The sequence below is a fragment of the Homo sapiens genome, chromosome 12 (genome assembly GCF_000001405.40).
Source record: "Homo sapiens chromosome 12, GRCh38.p14 Primary Assembly".
Classification (NCBI taxonomy): Eukaryota; Metazoa; Chordata; class Mammalia; order Primates; family Hominidae; genus Homo; species Homo sapiens.
This window is the reverse complement of record NC_000012.12, coordinates 28,761,600-28,788,484: the sequence shown is the minus strand read 5'-3', so window position 1 is coordinate 28,788,484 and position 26,885 is coordinate 28,761,600. Positions and strand designations below refer to the sequence as shown.

Sequence of the window (26,885 nt, the reverse complement as noted above, 5' to 3'; positions counted from 1 at the left end):
TTATGGCTGAATAGTAATCCATTGTGTCTATGTACTGCAATTTCTTTATCCATTCATCTGTTGATGGACACTTAGGTTGCTTCCAAATCTTGGCTATTATGAATAGTGCTGCAATAAACATGGGAGTGCAGATATCTCTTCAGTACACTGATTTCCTTTCTTTTTGGCATATACCCAGTAATGGGATTGCTGGATTGTATGGTAGCTCTATCTTCAGTTTTTTTGAGGAAACTCCAAACAGTTCTCTATAGTGGTTGTACTAATTTGCATTCCCACCAACAGTGTACGAGGGTTCCCTTTTCTTCACATCCTCCAGTTTCTCAGTCTTATTCAAATGCACATTTATAGGATGTTTTCATATCTAATCTTTGTTTTCACTCTGAAAACAAATCTTATTTTTTCTTTTAACTTTTCATTTCGATTTTTCACTTCTAACATCACCTGTGATTCTCATACATTCCTCCTGGCAATATGACTTTTTCTTTATCCACTTTTCCAGCAGCTACCATATGCCTTCCATTGTGCTAGTTAATCAAAGTAGAGAGACTATTACCAAATAATAGAAGACGTGGGTTCTTTTCATGGGTTGCTCATAAGGGAATTAGGAAGAAGTGGTGACACTAAGCTAGCATTTATGGGTCTCTCTAAAGCATTTTAAATATACTAACTAAATTAATGTTCACAACTACACCATGTGTTTAAATATTATATCTACACAGTTAGATGAGGAAACTGAACAACAGCAAAATGCTTAATTAGCTAATCAACATGCAGCTAAACAGCGAAGCTCAAAGCCACAATTTGAAATGTCAGTCTAACTTCTTAACCAGTTTGTTACACAGTTACTCTGTCTAATGTATAAATAACAAAATAATTGGAGATATATCATAATATGTAATAAAATATTAAATATTATAATCAATACAGGCATGGAAATAAGGAAATCATCACCATTAATTATGTAGTATAATATAGTTTGTATATTTGTCCTCTACAAATCTCATGTTGATATTTGATCCTCGATGTTGGAAGTGGGGCCTAGTGGGAGGTATCTGAGTCATGGGGGCAGATCTCTCATGAATGGCTTGTTGCCATCCTCACAGTATGAATGAGTTCTTGCTCTATTAGCTTCCACAATGATTGATTGTTAAAGAGCCTAGCACCCCCTCCCCCTCTCTTTTCCTCTCTCGCCATGTGAAGCTGCTCTTCCCTGCTTTCTACCATGAGTGGGAGATGCCTGAGGCCCTCACCAGAAGCAGATACTGACATCATGCTTCTTGTACAGCCTGTGGAATCTTCAGCCAGATAAACCTTTTTTCTTTATAAATTGTCCAGCCTCATGTATTCCTTTATGGCAACACAAAAGGACTAAAACATCATATAAGCATCACGAATAAAATGAGGTTGAAAAGTAAGCTGGGATCTCCAAGGAAGGCTTATCTTTGTTTCCCTTTTTCTGAGTGTAGTTGTTAAGCCACAGAAGTTGAAATCTCTACTCTCTTGTCCTGCCTTTGGATGCTACACCCATCACTGTGTTGACACAGCTCTTAAAGGTGCTCGCTTAATCAATGGATCCAGTGACTTTTCCATCCTGACAAGGCCAGTCATTACCATGGATGAGGTCCAGGCTTTCTGAAGTTGCTTCTACCAGCTGTCTTCTCTAGCAGCCAAATGCCATATTCTATCATCAGCCTGGCTGCATAACCTTGCATAAACTACTTAAAAACCTTCTGCCTCAGCTTCTACTTCTATAAAATGGAAATAATATTAGTACCTACTTAACAGGGTTTTGTGAGGATGAGGTGAGCCAATACCTGTAAAGTGCTTTAAATAATCCTGGCACATGAGGTTGAGAAGCAAGCTGGGGTCTCCAACGAAGGCTTTTTTTTTTAACATTAATAAAATATTTAATAAAGAGTAGCTCATTAAATGCACATGGCTCATTAAATGCCACTCTTTATTAATTTTTTTATGATGATTTTCTAAGTGATGTTTCACTCTGCAGTTTGCCTCACATCTCTTCTTCCCACATTTCAGAGATCTTGGCTGAGGTTCAACCATTATTCTTGTATCTTTCTTCCTGTGTCCTCTCTTCCCCAGAAATCGTATCTGCCCCTGAAGTTTCAGTGATTGTTTACATGGGTTCAGTATCCCTTATTTAAAATTCATGAGACCAGAAGTGTTTCAGATTTCAAATAATTTTGGATTTTGGGATATTTGCATTATACTTACTGATTCAGCATTCCTTATCCAAAGATCTGAAATCTAAAATCCTCCAATAAACATTTCCTTGGAGTGTCATGTCAATGCTCAAAAAAAAAAGAAAGAAAAGAGAAAGAGAGAAAGAGAGAAAGAAAGAAAGAAAGAAAGAAAGAAAGAAAGAAAGAAAGGAAGGAAGGAAGGAAGGGAGAAGCAAAGAAAGAAAGAAAGAAGAAGGAAAGAAAGAAAGAAGAAGGAAAGAAAGAAAGAGAAAGAAAGAGAGAGAGAAAGAAAGAAAGAAAGAAAGAAAGGAAGGAAGGGAGGGAGAAGCAAAGAAAGAAGAAAAAGAAAGAAAAAGAAAGAAAGAGAGAAGGAAAGAAAGAAGGAGAAAGAAAGAAAGAGGAAGAAAGAAAGACAGAAAGAAAGAGAGGAGGAAAGAAAGAAAGAGAAAGAAAGAAAGAGGAAGAAAGAAAGAAAGAAAGAAAGAAAGAAAGAAAGAAAGAAAGAAAGAAAGAAAAGAAAAGAAAAAAGAAAATGCCAAAGTGACAAAGGTGATGGGATGTTACTCCCATGATTACATTATGTTATATAACACTCCAACTTAGCAGACTGGAGCAAGAGAGACTCCTTGCTGGCTTGATGAATTAAGCAGTTACATTGGAGAAACCCACACAGCAAAGAACTCCAGACAGGACTGCAACAAAATGTGAGTCCTCAGTTATATAGCCTCAAGAAAATGAATTCTGTCAATAGCCTGGCTGAGCATAGTAGATTCTTTGAGCCTGTTGAGCCTCCTGAGAAAACACAGCCTGATTGATACCTTCATTACAGCCTTGTGTTACCCTCAGGAGAGGACCTTGCTAAACCATGCCCAAACTCTTGGCCCATAGAAACTATGAGATAACAAATGTTTATGTATTGGTTTAAGTGGCTAAATTTGTTATGTAGAAGAGAAAACTAATAACTTGGTATGAGTTGATATCCATGAAAACACTATTGTCTACATCTTACTGAGATTAGACACCAATGTAATCTTTGATTCCTAGCTACTTCTTGTCACTTACATTCAATCACTAAATCTGAAGTAATTGAGCTTATTAATAAGAATAGCTTATAATTATTGAGTAAGTTTATAAGCCATGCATTGAACTTACTTTATATAATAATCAGTGACTTATTCCCTTTATAGATGATAAAATTGAAATGTGGAAAAACATATTTTGCCATATTTTTCAACTGAAAAAAATCACAAATTTTTAAATTTAGAAAGGAGACTTTATTCCTTATAGAGGATTACAGCCTGCAGGGAGGCCACGCTGACAGGCTGGGAAGTGTAGCCTCTGGCAGAGACCATTGGCAGACACTTTGAAGGAGGAAAGGTGAGACAGAAATTTATGGTGAAGGGGTTGGCTAAGTATACATATTCCAAGTTTATAAGAAGAGCTATGAATATTCATGAAGGGTTCAGTACCCGAGACATGTGTACTGAACAAGCACACATATTACATGCATCCCATGTTCACTTTGAGGTGGACATTTAACATTTAAATGCATTACAATTAGGCCCTATATGTCAAAAGGTGAGGCAAGGACACAAAGGCATTCAAGTACGCAGCCTCTGTAAACCAGCCAGAACCCATCTAAGGTTAGGGGTCTTCTTATCTGGACAAGGTTATTGAAATTAGTTTCTTGTCCAATCAAAGCTGCAGTAATGGCTTGTGGAACAGGGGAGTCAGTGAGTCAGCAGCCAGCAGTGGATGAGCTGCACTTATTTTAATACTGCTTTTCTTGAGGTCAATGCTTGCTTAGGTGCTAAAGAAAAAGAAAAACCTTGTGGTAGTTAGAACATAGTTTATTCTTTACGTGGAGGGATGCGTAGCTCAGCTTAAGGCCTGGTGTGGCCTTAGGTCCTGTTTATAATTTGGTATTTTATTGTCACAAAGAGTCCATTCTGTCAGTCTTATAATCTCTATTTTAACTTTAATGCTGGTCAGTTTTGTCTGAACTACAAAAGGAGGGGATATAATGAGGCGTGTCCAACCTCCCGTCCTGTCACGGGCTGGAACTCAGTTTTTAAGGATTCTCTGGGGTCCCCTTGGCCAAGAGGGGTCTCTTCAGTCAGCTGCTGGGGGTGTGCTTAGGATTTTGTTTTTAGTTCTTATATTCAAATCTGGTATCAGATTCCAAATCCTGTGATCTTTCTGCTACAGTGGACTGACCATCCAGGTGTCTCTGTTAGATCAGAAGTCCTAAGTTACAGTTAAAATTCAGACTCTTTTCACCAGCATTTGAAATTGTTCGGTCTGGTCCTAATTCCCTCTTCAGGCTTTTCCCCCATTATTCATTTGCTCTCTCTAAAATTTCTTGATGTTTTTCTACTTCCTAGTGTCAACTCACAATCTCCTTTAGTCTTGTAACATCCTCAACAAAAGAAACACAATCTACTCCTTTACTATCTTAGCAAGAGAAGAAAAATAGAAGAGGAATTTTTTTTTTAAACGAAGTCTCACTCTGTTGCCTGGGCTGGAGTGCAGTGGTGAGATCTCGGCTCACTGCAATCCCAGCTTCCTGGGTTCAAGCAATTCTCCTGCCTCAGCCTCCCAAGTAGCTGAGATTACAGGCGGCCGCCACTACACCCAGCTAACTTTTTGCATTTTTAGTAGAGTTTCACCATGTTTAGGGGTTTCACCATGTTGGCCAAGGCTGGTCTCGAACTCATGACCTCGTGATTCACCCGCCTCGGCCTCCCAAGGTGATGGGATTCCAGGCATGAGCCACTGCGCCTGGCCCAGAAGAGGAATTTTTTAAGTGTAGTGGGGTGGGCATACCATGGGGCCCTCATTCTGTTACTCCAAATTTCACCTTCAATTCAGCATCTGAATCCCAGGACTACCTCTGCCACTGTCATGTTATCCTCTTGGATATCCCTTGCTTTTAAATATATGAGGAATGTACTGGAGATGCCTGCCACAACCTGTCTCACATTTCGCCCCTTCTGCAGAAAGTTTCCTTACTCCCCTCTTTAACAGGTGAATGGATTGCTCAGTATCAGTGCCACCCTGAGCCAGATCGAAGCTTGAGGCAAAAGGAAAGGTGTGTGCTCTTATGTATATACTTATCAGAACACCCTTCCATGTTTTGAACCAAGCAGGAAAAGATAATTAAAGTTCTACAACTAAAAAAAGTGACTACATGTAGGGCTCTGCATTGCATAATCTGTTCACACCTCATTGTCAAACCTCATAAACCTACCCCATGAGGACCTGGTGAGGGAGGCAAAAGCCACAGGGTCCAGCAACCATGTGCAAAACACATGGTTCATAAACCCCCATTGTGCAAAAAACACAGGGTCGTAAAACACACAAACAGTGCCATCCTGTCTCTATGTAAAATTTTACTATTTCTTCCTCAAGGACTTCTTTTTCACTAATTTTGCATTTTAACTATTGTATTAAATATTATCTTGATTACTGATTTTTTGGCACTCCATTAAATTTTGCACAAAAAGACAGTGTTTTACTCTTTTCACTAATTCTGGTCTTATTCAATATCAACTGCTCAGTCCCAGCTGATTGAACCTACTATGGCCATCTAACCCAAGAACAGCCCATACGCGAGACTGGTATTGATCCACTCTATTCTGCCATTAAGGAAATTGCTGTGGAAATTACAGTCCAGAAAATACTACAGCAATCATGCAAATTTTCACACATAGGGTGACATCATTCTTTCCCCTCACCTCTCTCCCATTCTTCCTGTGTGACCAAGACGCCTCCTGTGGAAGGGAGGGGGTGAGGGAAGGAGCGGAAAGGAGAGTTCCCAGGCTGAGTCTGGAACGGAACAGGACATGCGAACTTGATAAGAAAGTTGGCTATGGTGAGATAATAGGAAAACCTAGACCTTGTAATGTGGGGTTTTATGCAACATGTACTTCTTCAATCAGTTTTCTCCTATTTTCTCTTGATTTTTTGTGACATTCTCTTTACTTATCAAGCACAACGCTATCTGCCAGGGCCCAGATCATGGATAAGCTTTGCCTAACTCCTGCTATGCACGGTATCTCTTCCTTTCACATCTTCTGTCTGTACCTCCAAGGCTGTCTCTTTACATCAGGAGTCCCTTCTATTTTAGTCACCTCGAGTAGCTGCTGAGCCACCTCACCCAACCAGTAGAATCAGTTCCTGGAAATCAGTCTCAGGAGTCAGAAATTTGAAACAAATTCAGTGACCTTCTCCCCCAAAGGACGTAACTATACTGGCCATCCACAAATTACCAACAAAGAAAAGCCATTTATTTTAATACATTATAAATTTTCATGAATGAAAACGTTAATAAATGACAACTGACATCATCAGTTTAAGAGCATTTGCCCCTGGTGATTTGTATAGCCCTGCTGACATTAATAAGAGAATATCTTTGTTCCTTGCCCTTCATCTCTCTGGTGCCAGGAAGACAAGCTACATTCACTCCCTTCCTTAAAATTATAAACTCAGCTTATCTCCTGGGAACCAGACCTTCTCCTGGGCTGGACGTGATTCTCCCATAACCATAAACATGTAGAGAAGTTTAAGTGCAGTTGGGTGGGTATTGTCCTTCCTAGCAAGCTGGTGGAAATTTCATCAAGGCCAGTTTTTGGAATCTGACCTGTGAATAGCGATGGAATCCAGAAATTTATATTTACTATTGCGGCATGCTTTTCAATTGTATACTTCCCAGAATAAATTTTAAGTTACTCATTGAAAAGATCGAGTCTTAAATGACTTCCACTCCCAGAATGGCCAGCACACAAATAGCTCTTCAAGGAATAATCTGACTTCTGCATTTTGAGCATCTTTGTCTCACTTAACATTTAGTGTACCCCTGTTTGGACCAGGCAAAGGGAATATGTGTTAATTAGGGGAAGTTCCTGCTAGTCCTCGGGGTCTTGGATGAAAGAGGGAAAGATAGGTTATAGAGGCTAATCCCTGCTGTCTCAGAACTACCCTGCAGCAGTGCTTGAAGGCACGGGGTTGGAGGTGTCTGAGATGTAGGAAACAAGTACAGTTTCTAAAGCTATTTATTCAAGATATCCTATCAGACACAAATCTTAAAGAATCAGCTGCTTCCCGAGGACAAACAGTTACTGTGCAGGAAAACAATACTGGATGTCTCAAATTTGGTAGGGCAGCTCTGCACTGTACATGTAGCACATGATCCAGACCCACAAGAAGGAGAAGCTGCTTTGTAGATGGTAAACTGGATGGATGGACTACAGAGAAAAAGGAAAATAAAGCACGCGTTGAAAACCAGGGATCAGAAACACGAGGAGGCTTGCATCAGTGGAAAACTGGATTGGTGATGTGTATTAGTCTGCTCAGACCACCACAACAAAATACAGTAAATTGAATTCAATTTATGAAAATAGATTTAGCAAGTGGATAACAGAGGGAAAGTCATTTCTGGCAGAAGGATGATCCAAAGCACAAATGTACCGAAAATGCGACAGTTTCACGCAAAATCTGTACACGAGTGTTTAAAGCAGCTTCACTCATAATGACCAGAACTTAAAAGCAACCAGAATGTCCTTCAATAGATGAATGAATAAACAAACTGTGGTACAGTCATCCCCTTATCTGAGGGGAATACATTCCAAGACCCCCAGTGGATGCCCAAAACCTCAGATAGTACTAAACTTAACATATATTATGTTTTTTCTTATACATACATACGTATAGTAAGGTTTAATTTATAAATTATGCACAGTAAAAGATTAACAATAATAATAAAATAGACCAATTATTGCAATATACCGAAGTAAATGTTACGTGAGTGAATATGGTCTCTCTCACTCTTTCTCTCTCTCTCAACTTATCTTATTGTACTGTATTCACCCTTCTTGTGATAATGTGAGATTATAAAGTGCCTATGTGATGAGATGAAGAGAGGTGAATGACCTGGTATTGTGGCATAGTTTAGGGCTACTATTGACCTTCAGACATTATGTCAGAAGGAGCGTCATCTGCTGAGGGTGATCCTGACTCATTGAGCCAGGACAGTGTTGATGGTTGGATGTCAGGAGCAGATGATGCTGATGACTCATGGGCATGTGGCATATGAAGTGTGGATATGGTCAACAAAAGGCTGCTTGACTCTCCCAGGGCACTAAGTGGGACAGCAAGAGATTTCATCAGGATACTATAGTGTACAACTTAAAATTTATGAGTTATTTATTTCTGGAATTTTCCATTTAATATTTTCACAGTTGACTATGGGGACCTGAAACCATGGAAAGCAAAACCACAGATAAGGGGAAACTAATGTACCACTGGCAGGGCTGCTTAAACAACAAAAAATTTATTCTCTCACAGTTCTGGAGGCTAGAAGTCCAAGATCAAAATGCCATCAGGGTTGTAGGTGTCAGTTAAGGCCTCTCTTCCCAGCTTGCAAGCAGCTGCCTTCCTCCTGTATCTTCACAAGTTCTTTTGTCTGTGATGAGCAGAGAGAGAGAAAGATAGCTCTCTAGTGTCTCTTTCTCTTCTATCTCTCTCTCTCTCTTTTTTTTTTTTTTTTTTGAGACAGAGTCTTGGTCTATCTCCCAGGGTAGGGTGGAGTGCAGTGACGCTATCTTGGCTCACTGCAACCGCCTCCTCCCGGGTTTAAGGAATCCTCGTGCCTCAGCCTCCCAAGTAGCTGAGACTACAGGCATATGCCACCACTCTCGGCTATTTTTTGTATCTTTAGTAGAGATGAGGTTTCACCATGTTGGTCAGGCTGGTCTCGAACTCCTGACCTTGTGATCCACCCGCCTCAGCCTTTGAAAATGCTGGGATTACATGCGTGAGCCACCACACCGGCCTCTTTCTCTTCTTAGAAGGATAACCGTCTTATTTGATTAGGGCCCCACTTTTATGTCCTCGTTTAACTTTTGTTACCTCTCTAAAGGCCCTGTCTCTAAATACAGTCCCATTGTAATTTAGGGCCTTAACACATGAATTTGGGGAGGGACACAATTTGACCCATAACAGGATTATTTCACAAAAATGGCCCATTTGCATCAGCATCTTTCTTAGAAGGGCTCTTCTAGAGTTGCCTCAGGGAGGTTAATCAAATTCCTCAAAGTCACACAGTTAGAAAATGGTAGAACAGACTTTTGGAATCTAGGCAGTAAGTAGGATAGACTTTGGAACCTGTCCTTTTAATCACTATGCATACTGCCTTCAAGTGGGAAATTTTTCATCATTTCCTCCACCAAATAACTATATTTAATTATTTTTATGTTTTTCTTATGCTCCAGAGTCCTGGCAGTTCTCATGTTATTTTTGTCACTGTTTTAATTTTCCTTACCTTACAAAGACTTTTACTCTAGTAGATCATAGCACAAGGGAATTATTTTCTCTTCTAAAACTTGACAGATCAAACACATTTCAGGTTGTCAGATGGAGTAAATCTTTGCAACAACCAGGCAGTTCTAGAAGCACAAATAAGTAGTTCCAGAAGCACAAATACTTTTAACCACTTGTGTACCTAGAAGGGTCAATATAAAACCCATCCAGTGATCTCTGATACATACAATATACAATATTAAGGACAACATGATCTCACTGGTCCTTATGGTTTCATATCATTTATTTCACCAGTTGACATAAACATTTAGTTTCTGATGATCTTACCCTTGATACAAACATTAAACTCAAATTAACAACTGATTAAATGCCTCATATTTAAATATATTGATTATTTTTTTGGCAGAAAAGAAAAATGAAAGTGATGAATTTTTTTCGTTCAGTAGCCTGAAGTTATGTTTCCAACAAAGTATAGGACCTAAATTCCCATTAGAAATTGGACACAATGGAAATGTGTTTGTTTGTTTTGATAAGAGAAAAGTATTGATATGAACATGAAAAGCCTGAAACGCCAAACTACTGCACATGTGAATACGTGTCACACGAAAATGGTGTTACAATTGTGACACAGTTACACAAACCAGGACTTTCTCAGGGACAGATTTTTGAGACCACCAGTAACTGTGAAAAAATGTTCCCAACAACAGTCTAAGAGAATAGAAAGCACAAAATTTCATTTTCTGATGGTAGAGCAGCACCGTCTAACGGAACCTTCAGTGGTGATAGAAACGTTCCATTTCCTGTGCTGCCAATACAGTCACCATTAGCCACATGTGGCTATTGGGTATACGAAATGTGGCTAGCTGGATTTAGAAACTGAAAGATGTTTTAAAACAACTTTTAAAATTGTATTTTATTTGAATCCAAATAGCCACAGGTGGCTGGTGGCTGTTGCATAGATAGTACAGTTTTAGAGTGCAGCAAAGATGTTCATATATACGTTGTGTTCTTTTTTTCTTTATTTTTTGAATGCTTAAGGAAAGGACAAAAATAAAGTCTTTGAAGGTAATGGTTTGAGTGAAGAATAGGGGAGGCCACGTTCCTGCTCCCAGTTTCCAGTTGCATCCGTCACATGTTTCTCAGTTTCAGTTTGCAGACCTATAAAATTCAATACAAATTGCACTGTGGTTTTACTGTGAGAGGCAGCCCTGATTGGTGAATAGGGGATTGGAGAGGGGGCAGCTGATCTGGCATTCAGTCTGGGTACTCTGTTCCCTGCACAGGCCCTTGGCTCCCTGAATTTTAGTTTTGACAGCTGAAAAATAAAATGGTTGAACTCAACAAATGCTAGGGCCTCACTGGCCATAATGTTTTACACTCTTATCCAATTGACAACACGTTACTAACACATTTTTTAAGCTGGTGTTATTGCTTGGTGGAGATAGAAATAAAATCTTAGAAATCTACTGATTTAAGATAAGCTTTAAGGAAGTGCCAGAAATGCTTTTGATTTTCTGTAGGAAAGGTTTTGTGACAGGTTAGAACTATAATAATGGATCATATGCATACTTTTCTAGCCTAGTAGTTGGCAATAAAAGTTATTTGTGTGCTTATAGCTGCATTGCTATTCCCACAAGCTCCATTGCTTCATACATAGAACAACCATAACTAGACCTGCAAAATGGTCTCAGCGGTAGGCTCTGCATGGTAAAGACAGTGTTTACACAAAGCAGTTAGCTATCATCTTATGAGAGGCCTCTAAATCAAATTTGCACATACAAGCAAGGGTTTGCAAGGACTAATCAGATAATTATACCCCAGGCAACCAATTTGCATGGCAAGTTGCACAGTTTTCTTTGCTTTACATTTCATCTTTGGTAAAATAGGGTACCACGTAAAAATCTCAGTCTGTGTGGTGTTTCGTTTGTAATTACCGGTGTTCACTAAAACAGGTTATGAGTTTATAAGGATCATGTTGTGCTCTGTGACTTATAGTGCAAAATGACCTCACACTGTAGCAACCAGCAGGGTACCCGGGCCATCTAGAATTGTTTTGCTCCCTACCCCTCCTCCAACATAAAAGATACAGAGTTTCTTTGAAAAGTAGACAAGAAAAACTCAATCTCCAGCCTATGAGGCTTATTACTCTATCATCAGATGTATGGTTTGTAACATAAAATGTATGTAAGCCAGTCTACACCTAATATTTTAATAGAGAGATGACCAGTTGAAACTTTAAATGCCTAACACTCTTCTCCTTGCTTTTTAGAAAACTCTCTATATAGTTCTAATGGGCTCTTAAAATATGAGGTAACCACCAGAAATAGCTGCTTTATTTAAAAAGCTCACTGTTAAGGTGCTTTTGCTAATCTGACATCAGGGAAAACTCAAGTTCAAATTTCATGCTTTGGAAAGCAATAAAAATCACCACCTGGAAATCCAGAGGCACCGGCAAATTGTTATTCAAAACAGGTGTGTCAGCTTCATAGAAACATGGCAGAAATCATTCAGTGGTTCTGGAAAGAAGGCTAAGGTCCCACAGGGCAGCAACTTCCTGGAAGGCCTTTGCCTTTAGAGTTCTAGCTTTGCATATCATGTTCACTGTCCTGAAAAGAAAAATCTATTAGGTATGCCTAGGATGGAAATAGGTGAGTTACACCCACTGGTTCAAACCATTGCCCTTAAATAAAAGAACTGAAAACAACAGACTCCACATGTTTATGAGCTCAAATCCTAGTGGATACTTCTATAAATCTTTTCCATTTTTTATTCTTTTTTTTTTCCTTCTTGGCTCAGGTCTGGATCATGAAAAGAAATGCTACACACTGCCAGAAAGGATATTTGCAGAACTTCCAACCTCACCTTAGTAAATCCTTCTGATGCAGATTCTATGGGGATAATTTCTAGACTTCAAATTATTTAATACGTACCAACCACTAATAATATTCTGAGCAAAAAACCCCACAGCATTTGATGTAGTCATTAGTTAGAAACTCAAATAAGGTATGAATAGACAGGGTAGAAATATGAACTCACTAATTCTATAAGCCTTTTTGAGTACTTATTGTGGTAGGCTGCAATACTATTTCCATCTTTTTACTCTACTCTATATTCACACTTTTTGCCATGTGGCTTTGCAGTTTCTTCCACTAAGCATGGAGTGTATTTCCCTATCTTATTAATATCGAGCTTGATCATGTGACTTCCTTTCACCAATAAAATACTAGTGAGCATGACATAAGCAAATGTTTGACGTGTGTGTGTGATTGGGCTTGGCCTTTTGCGCTGTTGCCTTCGCTATGGGAATTTTTTCTTCTAATCAGCTGCTGCACCTTCAGCCTGGGTCCCAGGAACAAACATGGCTCAGCCTACAGCAAAGAGCCAAGATAACTAGATCCAACACTTGAAGGAGAGCCTCCCCGCTGAGCTCAGCCTAGATCTGCCGACCCATAGCCAACCACAGAGTGACGCTCTGGAGTATCAGTGATACATTTCGTATGATGCTGGTTTGAGTGTAGTTTGTTCCTAAGCATTTTTTCAGTAATTGTTGACAACGTGCTAGGCATTGTGCTGGACCCTGGGGATATCAATAATTAGAGACAGCCTCTGCTTTTGAGAAATTGGATCTAATTGGAGAGACATGTACATAAACAGCACAATATAGTTAGTGTTACAAGAGATCTGAACCAGGTACTTTAGGAAACAAAAAAAAAAAAGAGAGAGAAACAAATTGATGACCTAGATAGATGTTCATCACATTAAAGTTAGGCCATATTTAGTTTATACTAGTCCTTTTTTATGCCTTAAAGATAGTTCCTGAGAAAACTGACCTTTTATATACCTAATACAATCTTAGCTCTTGCTAGTTAATAATTGTGCTTGTTTATAAGTCATGTGTTTAAAATATACTTATTTTATCCTCATTTATTTACACGTGCCTTAAAATGACAACTGATCGAATACTAAACTTAGGCTAAATCTCTACCATGATTTGAATTCTATTTTATTTCTGGGCATCATAGTGTATCCTTCTACCCAGCCAAGAAAATATACAAACCATCTGGGAATTGACAAGATATATATTATTTCTCTATATGTAAATCTACGTTATGTGGAAATGCAAGGGGCCAAAGCTGTACTGCTGAGAAGACAATTCTACAACTGCAAATTCCTTCCTACCATTTAGAATATCTAGTCTTAATCCTACTGTTTGCTTGCATTAAAGCAAAAGATGCCATTATTTTTCTGCAAAAGAATTACTTTGCATTACTCTCCAAAGACTTATGAAATTCTGGAGATAGCAAGCAAGGAGGTGAACGGTGGAAGAATAGATGTTGAAGTTCTTGATCTCAGATGAGGAGAGGCTAATGCTACATGCCATAGTCTTTTCAATGAGAAGCATGGCTGCATTTGCCCCCAGTCTGTCCTAGCCTTGTAGGAGGCCTAAGTGAAGGTACCCAGCCATTGTAACCAAAAATGTAAATATCCCTCTGGGTTCGATAATTCAGGAATGCTGCTGGAGAATTAATACTATCCCCAGGATCAGCGGACACTCAGCATGGGTGGACACTCAGCACACCACACTTCCAAGACTTAGGCAAACATCAATCATGAAATTATTTCCATTGATGATTTAGAATTCTTTTACAAATATGTTGCAGAAAGCCACTATAGTTTGGAGCTTAAGCACATGAACGCTGGAGCCAAAGGACCTAGGCTGAAATGTTGCATCTCCTACTTCCTAGATACGTTATTTGGAAAAATCAATCTTTCTCTATACCTCAGTTTCCTCATCTGTAAAGCATGTGTAGTGATACCACCTATTTCTTAAGGTTGTTGAGAAGAGGAAATGAGATAATGCATCCAAATTACTAAGAAAAGTTTATTGCACATACAAAATGCTAAATGATTGGTAGCTATTTAAAATATTCCTCATCTGCCAGACTATGCATGTTGTATCTATTTTGTTATACCATCCCTGCATTAGGACATCATCATCAGAAATGTCTGAGTTGAGAAGGAACCTAAACACTTAGTTTACCCACTCACCTATCACCTCATCCCCAACACACACACACACAGACACACAAACACACACACCTTACAGACTAGAAAACTAAGGCTAAGAGGGTAAATGATTTGCTAAGAGTTAATGGCTAGACTAGAACTGGGTTATTCTGGTGCCTGATAAAGAGCTATTTCCATTAAACCAAATTGAGGTAAGACAATTTATTTCTGGGGGTGTTGGGGGGGGGGGTTGATCAAAATTGACCAAACCTTGCCAGAGAGCTTTGCACAGCCTGTCATGCAGAATCACCACCAAGCTGCACAGACAGAGGTCAGACAAGCTAAGATTATCATTAGGGTTTGCCAACAGTGCTATCCTTTCTTTTGGCACACTAACTGGTGGAAAAACTTTGGGAATTAAAGTAGAAACATGGCATATCTCTGTTTCCCACAATTTAACTTCTCTTTTGCAGAAGCTGTGTTGTGTAAGACCCTAAGCAATTTCTTGTTCGCCATGTTGCCAAGGGACTTAATTCTTTTGTCTCTCCAGTGATAGTTAAGATTCTAGCAGTGGCTAGATTTTACGAATGGTATTGATTTAGCTCTTCAGTGGGTACAGGATTCTTTTCCAACTTTGCTACAGCCATGCCACTTTGACACTGCAGAAGTTCCTCTCCACCACGAAAACACACACACACACAGACACACACAGACACACACAGACACACACACACACACACACAAACAAGGACCAGCATCACTGTTCCTTATGGCAAACCTGTTAGATGGACAAAAGATTACATTGCCTTTTATCTGTGAGAAAATTGAGGTTTAGAGAATTCTTGAGGCTTGCTGCAGATTAAAACAGCAGAATAATAATACCCACCCAATCTTCTGCCTATAAATGCTTTGTTTTTGAGTGATGATGGATGGATGTGTTAGCCATTCTGGTATGGGGAGCCCATTCTCAGTGTTTATGGCTGCTACTCAATGCCAAGGCAAGTGGCTAATGCCAAAGGCTCTTCTATATTTTTCCTCCCCTAAGAAGAGAGCTCAAGAAAAACTCATTTTTGACAAGTGATTTAAAACAGATAACATAGACTTTCTTTTCTGAACTCTGGGCTGGCATGGTGTTACCCTCAGCCTCCATGCTCAGATGTGAGCACTCTCGGGAGAGGAAAAGTGTTGACATTTAGTTCTGTATTTCTAAGTATTAACACACGTGGTGGGGAGCCTTTTACAATTACTCACTCATGCTGAGGTCTTGGGTGGCCCGTTTGAGCCTTTTTCTCCCTGATGTCCAATCAAACTGCCATGACCCAGCACGGATATTGTTGTCAAGTGTTGGCAGGAAACTCATCCCATTGAAACCCTCCTAGGGGAGTGAAAAATATAAGGAGGAGCAAATAAAATGAGGATTTAAATGATCTTTTAGAAATATCTTTAATTGCACACAGAAAGGCCTAAATACCTGCTGCTGAACCTCAACAACCCTAAAATGCATGCTTTAGAGTAAGGGCATCTAGGGGGCCACGTTCTTCTTCTTGCTTCCCATTGCTTCCCTCTGTCTCTCTATTCTCCCCCTTTGCTCAAACCCCACACGTAGGAGGCAAACCCCCCACCATTTCTGTGTGACCTGAAGGAATGAATCCTGTCATATTAGTTCCATTTTCCTAATAGAAGTTGTTCTAATAAGTTTAAGAGGCCACCAGAGCCCTTTGAGTTAGGAACAAATCGCAAATCATCATAACACTACACCTAGTCTCATTTTATGACAGCAATAAATCAAAAGCAGCCTCACAGTGTGAAAACTAGCTACAGCAGTCACAAGTGCCAGGTTCTTGGAAATGCCAATGCCCAAACGTCTTTAGCTTTGCAGTGTATGTTTTGGCTGCCGGAGGCTCAATTTTTCAATTAAGGATTTTTAAAAAAAGAGTGTGTATGTGAAAGAGAAAGAGAACAGCTTCAGGTAAATTTGCCAAGCCAGACAATGAGGCTCTTGTTCTTTATGAATTATATTTACTTATTTTAGCTTTACTTTTGTGTTCATATGACTTCGAAAAGAATATTGGATGTGGAGTCCAGCCAGAGTGTTTACACACAATTTAATGTGATTTTGATTGTAAATGAAATACAAGTCTCCTAAAGATGCTACCTGGGTTGGCATCATCAAGGGCTCTAAAAACTTGATGAGATTTCATCTACAGCACGAGCTTCTTAGGTGTTGGTTAGAATTCCTCATGGTTTTACAAAAGATTTCTTGCATAATTATACACAATGAGAATAACTTAGAAAGAGACTTGGTACATATCCATCATTTAGTGTTGCCTTTCACAATAGGCAATTGAATTTTTTAAAATGCCATTATTATTCTCTTAGTAGAAAATGATATGAGTAACATGTTTCCTACTAAGCACTGTATGTCAGAGACTATATTGAACTTTGCAGTTGCTCCCTGAAATAATTTTTCACCTAATATGAATTAATTTTTTAAAAAGCAAATGAGAGCTTAGCAAATGAAACTGATAATCATAGTTCAAAAGTTTGGATATTAATCCTTGATATGAGTTGTTGCTAATAAATCTTTTGGAAAAAACAGTTTACCTGACATTCTTTTTTTCAAAAAACAATTATATTTGAAATTATTTTATACCTTTAATTTAGGGGCCACCAAAACCTTTATTAAGTTTCTGATTAATTATTCTGTCATATTAGCCACACGCTGGTGTCCACAATCAAAATCAAAGAGTCATCTTAGGCTGATACTGGTTCTTCATACCCCACATCCATGGTAGTGGTCAGTTTCTTCCTTCATAATGTCTAAACATCATCCCTCTCTTCCAGGGCCTCTTCTTCAGGAAATATTTTCACAGTCTCCTTACTGACTACCCAGTCTTTTGTAGCCCTTTAATCCTTTCTACACAGCAAGGTCAGATTAAATCCCTCTGAAGCTCCACTTTCACCATGCTTACTTCCCTAATGATTTAAGAAGGTACAATGGCTATCTATTGCCTGCCACATGAAATCACACCATCAGCTAGCTGGTATAACTATATTAGTCAAAAAATTAACTGTCACAGTAGCACTCACAGACAGATACCTGAGTACAGACAGGACTCATAGAGGGTTACATCCTCCTGGGCTGGTTATGAGCAAGGGGCTGGTCTTGGACAATATGTTTTTAGGTACATTCTATTTCTTAGACTGCCCAGTAGGCTCTGGAAAATTGATTCATTCTAATAACACGCATGAAGACAGCTATTAACTAGGACACAGATTTCTTAATTTTCAGTGGTCCAACCACTACCAGGGCTGGGAACAGGACTGGTCAGATCTGAACAGGGCACTCCCTTCCTGGTGAGTGGTTCCCCCGGGAGACCAGACTATTTATCAGAGGGCGTGTAGGAAGCACAAAATCGAAAAAAGGAAATTGATTGTTGCTTGAAGGAAATATGCGTCATACTTATACAACCCAACCTATTGACCTTCTCCACCCAAGGGACAGCTCAGACTATGAAGGAAACAGAACTATCCTTATCATCTAAATCAAAACACCAATATCCCTTGGGAGTGATGAATAAACAGGGATGGTTCTTTTATCTACTTGTTTGTGTTAGTTACCTATACTTAAAAACAAACAAACTAAATGTACTTATTGGTTTCCCAACTTCATATCATTATGGTACCTCTTTGTGATATGTTAGTACATTCAGCCTGACTTTCACTTTAGGCTTTCTTCCTAATGAAGCAAAATTTCATAAATAAGCAATTCCTAAATTACAATACAGTATGAGATAAAATTACACAAATTCCAGTCATTGCCTGGTGTTAAATTCTTGTGCCTATTTCATTGAGTGTGATTTCCCAGCCTTGTCTCCAAAGATAAAGATTTATCTGACTTCCATTCATATATTCCTATCCTATCACCAAATGGCCCTGAAATTCACTTCCACTTCGCAAACAATTTACCCAACTCATAGAACCCTACCAATATTCTGTTTCCTCCACTCAGTTAACTCAACAGTTTTTTTTATTAAGAGCTTGCTGTTTTCTACACACTTTGATGGAAATCCAGGCAAGTAGATGAGGAATGAAGACACAGAGATAAATAAGAAAAACAAAGGCCTTGCTCCCCTGAATGAAGGTGTCAGTTGGTGACACAAACAATCACAGCACAATTTGCTAAGAGATGGAATAAGAGGTAGCCATTGGCCAGGCGCAGTGGCTCATGGCTGTAATCCCAACACTTTGGGAGGCCAAGGAGGGTGGATCACCTGAGGTCAGGAGTTCGAGACCAGCCTGACCAAAATGGTAAAACCCCATCTTTACTAAAAATGCAAAAATTACCCCAGCATGGTGGTGTGTGCCTGTAGTCCCAGCTACTTGGAAGGCTGAGGCAGGAGAATTGATTGAGCCCAGGAGGAGGAGGCTGCAGTGAACCGAGATCATGCCACTGCACTCCAGCCTGGGTGACAGAGTGAGACTCTGTTTCAAAAAAAAAAAAAAAAAAAAGAGGTAGCCATTATGTGTGGAATAATAAAGCTGAGAAGAACATGATTCACTTTATCTTGGGGAGTTATCATGTGCTTGGGGTGACACCTAAATGTGATCCTTAAGAATAATGATCTCCCCAAAATGCCCGCACCCTAATTCCCGGAACCTAGAAATATGTATTATTATGGGAAAAGAGATTTAAGGTTGAAGATGAAATTAAGGCTGCTAATGAGCTAACCTTGAGATGGGGAGATTATCTTGGATTATCTGAGTGTGTTTTATGTAGTCACAAAGGTCCTTAAAAGTTGGGGAAGGAGGCAGAAGGGTCAGTATCAGACTGATGTGATATGAGAAACTCATATTGCTGAATTTAAACATGAAAGGAAGCCAAGAGTCAAGAAATGCGGGAACCCTCTTGAATTTGCAAATGGCAAAGAAACAAATTCTCTCTTCCAGAAAGGAACACAATCCTAGTATTGGCTGGTACCTTGATTTTAGCCCAGTGAGACCATTTTGGACTTCTGACCTCCAGAGCTATAAGATAAAGTTGTGTTGTGTTAAGCCACTAGCTGTGGTAATTAGTTACAGCAGCAAAAGAAAACTAATGCAAAGGGTAAGTAGGATTTCACCAGTGAAAGCAGCTAGTGAGGGTCTTGTAGTCAGGGGATATGTTTAATCAGGTACTTGTGGTCTAGGCTCTGTCACATATGATATTACAACAGAAATGTACTTTTGTGTGGTAGAAAATTATTAGATGACTATCAATAAAGGCTATTAGTGATGTAGATTGGAAAAGGTGCTTTGATATCAGTTGATAAAGAGTAGCAATAAGAATGTTGCAACAATGTGAATTAAAGACATTGTGTGCTTCAAATTCCAGGAAATTAAGCACTAGGATACAATGAATGGATGGTATGAAATAACTGCCTTAGTCTAAAGTTCCCATTGCCATCTCCACTTCCACAACAAGAGGCTCCATTTGCACCTCATATTCAATAGATCTTATATAATCTCACTACTTGCCTCCTGCAAAATGTACTTTTCTTTAAAGTGCCCCATTTCTTTTCGTGGCACTGTTGTTTGTATTCCTAATCACACAAACTTGACATTTCTAAATAATCTACCTCCCAACCTCCCTACACTCAACAAATTATCCTGTTGTATTGCTTCTGTCACCATGATCTTCCAGTGTCTTTCTCCTTTTTCTCTTTCCTATTCTACCCATATGTGGGTAGAATTTTAAACTATTATTTATGCTCTTTTCCCAATGAGTCATGAATTTCCCTTCCCCTCTTCACAGCTTCTCCATGACGTTTCCCTGCTTTTTTCCTCTTGTGAACTCCAGTAACACCAATTGTTCCTTGTAATACTTAAAACTTCCAGAAAGAATGTCTTTTCTCATGTTTCATCATGCCCATTCTCCCTCAATTTTTAGTTCACTACTGTTAACCTCATTACTGTTAGCTCTTCTATTGAAAAAGCTTTCTCTGAGGTCAAAAGTGACCTTTTTAGCTAATTTCAGGATCTATTTTGAGACTCCCTTCCTTAACTTGACCTCTCTGGGACATTGACATAACTGACAATTCTCTTCTTTCTGAAACTCCTCTTCCTTGGATCCTAAACTGCCCATTTCCTAAACCCTACTTTGACTGTCTTACTCATTATTTTCCATCTCCTCTAATAACTATTCAATGTTCCTATCCTGCTTTTGCTGATGCTTCCCACAGTCTTAACCTAAAATCCTCATAATTTTCATCATATTCTACAGATCTCTTCTCAAGGTATTGTGATCTAAGTGTATCTTAGAGAATGAGAGAGACCACTAGAATTTCTTAACTCTGTTGGAATTCTTTCTTTCTTGATAATTTCTGAGTACCTGCTCTTGGCTCAGTAGTATGCTAAATATACAAGAGAGGCCAAAAGTGATGAAGATGTAGCTTATTTTTAAAACTTTATTGTAATTAACAAATATTAATTGCATATATTTATGGAGTACAATATGATGTTATGACAATGCTTACAATGTGAAACGATTAAATCAAGCTAATTAACATACCCATCACCTCATATACTACAATTTCTGGAGAACATTATGCTAAAATGTAGCTTCTATCTTTGAAAGTCAATTTAGAGAGATGCAACATATACATATAGAGATTGTGACAAATGGTCTAAGGCAGGATTCATTCATTTATCATTGCCAATGACAATTAAGCAACACCATTTGAGTGTAGTTGTCAAATAAATATGGCTAAAAAGAAATGTTTCTTATTTTATGGATATAAAGGACACTGAGCCAGCAGACCAATAGCCTTTCTTTCCTTGAAGAATTGAGACACAAAGAGGAAATTATATGAAGCAAGTGCCCTTAATCACTCTCTAAGTTGTTTTCAGCCTTGAACAAAGGCTCCTTTGGTACTTCCTTCTCACAGTTTGCACAGCTCATCACCTGCAATACAAGTAATTTAAATTAAATCTATCTGTTTGGGTTTTAAAAAATATTTAAAATTTTTTCATCCTTATAGTTAAAAAATAATAGAGGAAATCTATCTAAGGAATCATAACAAGAAAAACATTTCACAGATGAATTAGACTGCTTCAAGACTGTCTCAGCTCTTCTTACTGAAACGTTTATTTATCCATTTGCAATTACAAATCAAGCACCTGCATTTTCAGGCATTTCTTTCACTAATAAAATAGCCCCAAATATCTAATTACATAAGGAATACCAAAATTGGTATTTATACTAGATTTATAGTATAATTGGTATTATACTTTGCCGCCTCTGTTTAATAGCTATTCCTGGCAGACAACATACAATAAAAACCCTTTTAGGTCTGGCCTGAATAGGAATCAGATTAACTTAGGCATATCATGATGAAAATTTCTCTTTCTGGTCTATTAGGCTTCAGTTCCAAATGATCTGGAAAATTCAAAGTGCCATTCTCCATTCCTGATTCTCCATCTGGATATTTAGAAACCACACTTCTTACCATGCTACAAATGAGAAAGTATCTGTTCTTACACAAAATAATTTTTCTGTTATATAATTTCCCTTGTGCAGAAGGAAAGGAAGCAAATCTTCTACACACTGTTGCCTAATTAAATCCTAGTATGAAAAACATCAAAATCCATAATAGACATAAGATAACACCACCCTAGGAATAGATGGAATAATTAAAGCTTTCTGGATTCAGCTAAAAAAAATTTTTTGAGCTACAAATACCTCAAAAATAGCTGGTTCAATACACTAACCAAGAAAAACTAGGTTTCCTCTAATCCACAGTCATTCAACAGGTAGTGTGAAATGAACTTTTGCACTATTTCAAATTCAAATTCCTCACAAAAATCCACTTCAGGTGAGAATCTGCAGGCCATTCAACTTAATCTTTTTTTTTTTATGGAAAATTTATTTTTTTATTATACTTTAACTTTTAGGGTACATGTGCACATTCTGCCGGTTAGTTACACATGTATACATGTGCCATGCTGGTGCGCTGCACCCACTAACTCGTCATCTAGCATTAGGTATATCTCCCAGTGCTATCCCTCCCCCCTCCCCCCACCCCACCACAGTTCGCAGAGTGTGATATTCCCCTTCCTGTGTCCATGTGATCTCATTGTTCAATTCCCACCTATAAGTGAGAATATGCGGTGTTTGGTTTTTTGTTCTTGCGATAGTTTACTGAGAATGATGATTTCCAATTTCATCCATGTCCCTACAAAGGACATGAACTCATCATTTTTATGGCTGCATAGTATTCCGTGGTGTATATGTGCCACATTTTCTTAATCCAGTCTATCATTGTTGGACATTTGGCTTGGTTCCAAGTCTTTGCTATTGTGAATAATGCCGCAATAAACATACGTGTGCATGTGTCTTTATAGCAGCATGATTTAGAGTCCTTTGGGTATATACACAGTAATGGGATGGTTGGGTCAAATGGTATTTCTAGTTCTAGATCCCTGAGGAATCGCCACACTGACTTCCACAATGGTTGAACTAGTTTACAGTCCCACCAACAGTGTAAAAGTGTTCCTATTTCTACATCCTCTCCAGCACCTGTTGTTTCCTGACTTTTTAATGATTCCCATTCTAACTGGTGTGAGATGGTATCTGATTGTGGTTTTGATTTGCATTTCTGTGATGGCCAGTGATGATGAGCATTTTTTCATGTGTTTTTTGGCTGCATAAATGTCTTCTTTTGAGAAGTGTCTGTTCATGTCATTTGCCCACTTTTTGACGGGGTTGTTTTATTTTTTCTTGTAAATTTGTTTGAGTTCATTGTAGATTCTGGATATTAGCCCTTTGTCAGATTAGTAGGTTGCGAAAATTTTCTCCCATTTTTTAGGTTGCCTGTTCACTCTGATGGTAGTTTCTTTCGCTGTGCAGAAGCTCTTTAGTTTAATTAGACCCCATTTGTCAATTTTGGCTTTTGTTGCCATTGCTTTTGGTGTTTTAGACATGAAGTCCTTGCCCATGCCTATGTCCTGAATGGTAATGCCTAGGTTTTCTTCTAGGGTTTTTATGGTTTTAGGTCTAATGTTTAAGTCTTTAATCCATCTTGAATTGATTTTTATATAAGGTGTAAGGAAGGGATCCAGTTTCAGCTTTCTACATATGGCTAGCCAGTTTTCCCAGCACCATTTATTAAATAGGGAATCCTTTCCCCATTTCTTGTTTTTCTCAGGTTTGTCAAAGATCAGATAGTTGTAGATATGCAGCGTTATTTCTGAGGGCTCTGTTCTGTTCCAGTTTGAAGTCAGGTAGCATGATGCCTCCAGCTTTGTTCTTTTGGCTTAGGATTGACTTGGCGATGCAGGCTCTTTTTTGGTTCCATATGAACTTTAAAGTAGTTTTTTCCAATTCTGTGAAGAAAGGCATTGGTAGCTTGATGGGGATGGCATTGAATCTGTAAATTACCTTGGGCAGTATGGCCATTTTCACGATATTGATTCTTCCTACCCATGAGCATGGAATGTTCTTCCATTTGTTTGTATCCTCTTTTATTTCCTTGAGCAGTGGTTTGTAGTTCTCCTTGAAGAGGTCCTTCACATCCCTTGGAAGTTGGATTCCTAGGTATTTTATTCTCTTTGAAGCAATTGTGAATGGGAGTTCACTCATGATTTGGCTCTCTGTTTGTCTGTTGTTGGTGTATAAGAATGCTTGTGATTTTTGTACATTGATTTTGTATCCTGAGACTTTGCTGAAGTTGCTTATCAGCTTAAGGAGATTTTGGGCTGAGACAATGGGGTTTTCTAGATATACAATCATGTTGTCTGCAAACAGGGACAATTTGACTTCCTCTTTTCCTAATTGAATCCCCTTTATTTCCTTCTCCTGCCTGATTGCCCTGGCCAGAACTTCCAACACTATGTTGAATAGGAGTGGTGAGAGAGGGCATCCCTGTCTTGTGCCAGTTTTCAAAGGGAATGCTTCCAGTTTTTGCCCATTCAGTATGATATTGGCTGTGGGTTTGTCATAAATAGCTCTTATTATTTTGAAATACGTCCCACCAATACCTAATTTATTGAGAGTTTTTAGCATGAAGAGTTGTTGAATTTTGTCACAGGCTTTTTCTGCACCTATTGAGATAATCATGTGGTTTTTGTCTTTGGCTCTGTTTATATGCTGGATTACATTTATTGATTTGCATATATTGAACCAGCCTTGCATCCCAGGGATGAGGCCCACTTGATCATGGTGGATAAGCTTTTTGATGTGCTGCTGGATTCGGTTTGCCAGTATTTTATTGAGGATTTTTGCATCAATGTTCATCAAGGATATTGGTCTAAAATTCTCTTTTTTGGTTGTGTCTCTGCCTGGCTTTGGTATCAGGATGATGCTGGCCTCATAAAATGAGTTAGGGAGGATTCCCTCTTTTTCTATTGATTGGAATAGTTTCAGAAGGAATGGTACCAGTTCCTCCTTGTACCTCTGGTAGAATTCGGCTGTGAATCCATCTTGTCCTGGACTCTTTTTGGTTGGTAAACTATTGATTATTGCCACAATTTCAGAGCCTGTTATTGGTCTATTCAGAGATTCAACTTCTTCCTGGTTTAGTCTTGGGAGAGTGTATGTGTCGAGGAATGTATCCATTTCTTCTAGATTTTCTAGTTTATTTGCGTAGAGGTGTTTGTAGTATTCTCTGATGGTAGTTTGTATTTCTGTGGGATCGGTGGTGATATCCCCTTTATCATTTTTTATTGTGTCTATTTGATTCTTCTCTCTTTTTTTCTTTATTAGTCTTGCTAGCGGTCTATCAATTTTGTTGATCCTTTCCAAAAACCAGCTCCTGGATTCATTAATTTTTTGAAGGGTTTTTTGTGTCTCTATTTCCTTCAGTTCTGCTCTGATTTTAGTTCTTTCTTGCCTTCTGCTAGCTTTTGAATGTGTTTGCTCTTGCTTTTCTAGTTCTTTTGATTGTGATATTAGGGTGTCAATTTTGGATCTTTCCTGCTTTCTCTTGTGGGCATTTAGTGCTATAAATTTCCCTCTACACACTGCTTTGAATGCGTCCCAGAGATTCTGGTATGTTGTGTCTTTGTTCTCGTTGGTTTCAAAGAACATCTTTATTTCTGCCTTCATTTCGTTATGTACCCAGTAGTCATTCAGGAGCAGGTTGTTCAGTTTCCATGTAGTTGAGTGGTTTTGAGTGAGATTCTTAATCCTGAGTTCTAGTTTGATTGCACTGTGGTCTGAGAGATAGTTTGTTATAATCTCTGTTCTTTTACATTTGCTGAGGAGAGCTTTACTTCCAAGTATGTGGTCAATTTTGGAATAGGTGTGGTGTGGTGCTGAAAAAAATGTATATTCTGTTGATTTGGGGTGGAGAGTTCTGTAGATGTCTATGAGGTCCGCTTGGTGCAGAGCTGAGTTCAATTCCTGGGTATCCTTGTTGACTTTCTGTTTCGTTGATCTGTCTAATGTTGACAGTGGGGTGTTAAAGTCTCCCATTATTAATGTGTGGGAGTCTAAGTCTCTTTGTAGGTCACTCAGGACTTGCTTTATGAATCTGGGTGCTCCTGTATTGGGTGCATATATATTTAGGATAGTTAGTTCTTCTTGTTGAATTGATCCCTTTACCATTATGTAATAGCCTTTTTTTGTCTCTTCTGATCTTTGTTGGTTTAAAGTCTGTTTTATCAGAGACTAGGATTGCAACCCCTGCCTTTTTTTGTTTTCCATTTGCTTGGTAGATTTTCCTCCATCCTTCTATTTTGAGCCTATGTGTGTCTCTGCACGTGAGATGGGTTTCCTGAATACAGCACCCTGATGGGTCTTGACTCTTTATCCAATTTGCGAGTCTGTGTCTTTTAATTGGAGCATTTAGTCCATTTACATTTAAAGGTAATATTGTTATGTGTGAATTTGATCCTGTCATTATGATGTTAGCTGGTTATTTTGCTCGTTAGTTGATGCAGTTACTTCCTGGCCTCGATGGTCTTTACATTTTGGCATGATTTTGCAGTGGCTGGTTCCGGTTGTTCCTTTCCATGTTTAGTGCTTCCTTCAGGAGCTCTTTTAGGGCAGGCCTGGTGGTGACAAAATCTCTCAGCATTTGCTTGTCTGTAAAGTATTTTATTTCTCCTTCACTTATGAAGCTTAGTTTGGCTGGATATGAAATTCTGGGTTGAAAATTCTTTTCTTTAAGAATGTTGAATATTGGCCCCCACTCTCTTCTGGCTTGTAGGGTTTCTGCCAAGAGATCAGCTGTTAGTCTGATGGGCTTCCCTTTGAGCGTAACCCGACCTTTCTCTCTGGATGCCCTTAACATTTTTTCCTTTACTTCAACTTTGGTGAATCTGACAATTATGTGTCCTGGAGTTCCTCTTCTCGAGGAGTATCTTTGTGGTGTTCTC

General features: G+C 38.8%; 2 long non-coding RNA genes across 3 annotated transcripts in view; one reads left to right on the top strand and one right to left on the bottom strand.

Annotated features, from left to right (window-relative positions):
• LOC105369711 (uncharacterized) overlaps positions 1-26,885 on the top strand; it is an 81,818-nt gene that overhangs the window by 6,466 nt on the left and 48,467 nt on the right. The gene's annotated exons all lie outside the window — the stretch shown is intronic.
• LOC124902907 (uncharacterized) lies at positions 8,636-17,686 on the bottom strand. Its single transcript, XR_007063256.1, has 4 exons — positions 17,629-17,686; positions 15,780-15,903; positions 11,953-12,127; positions 8,636-8,664 (listed from the first exon to the last, which is right to left on the bottom strand). It is a non-coding gene; the product is annotated as an uncharacterized LOC124902907 (long non-coding RNA).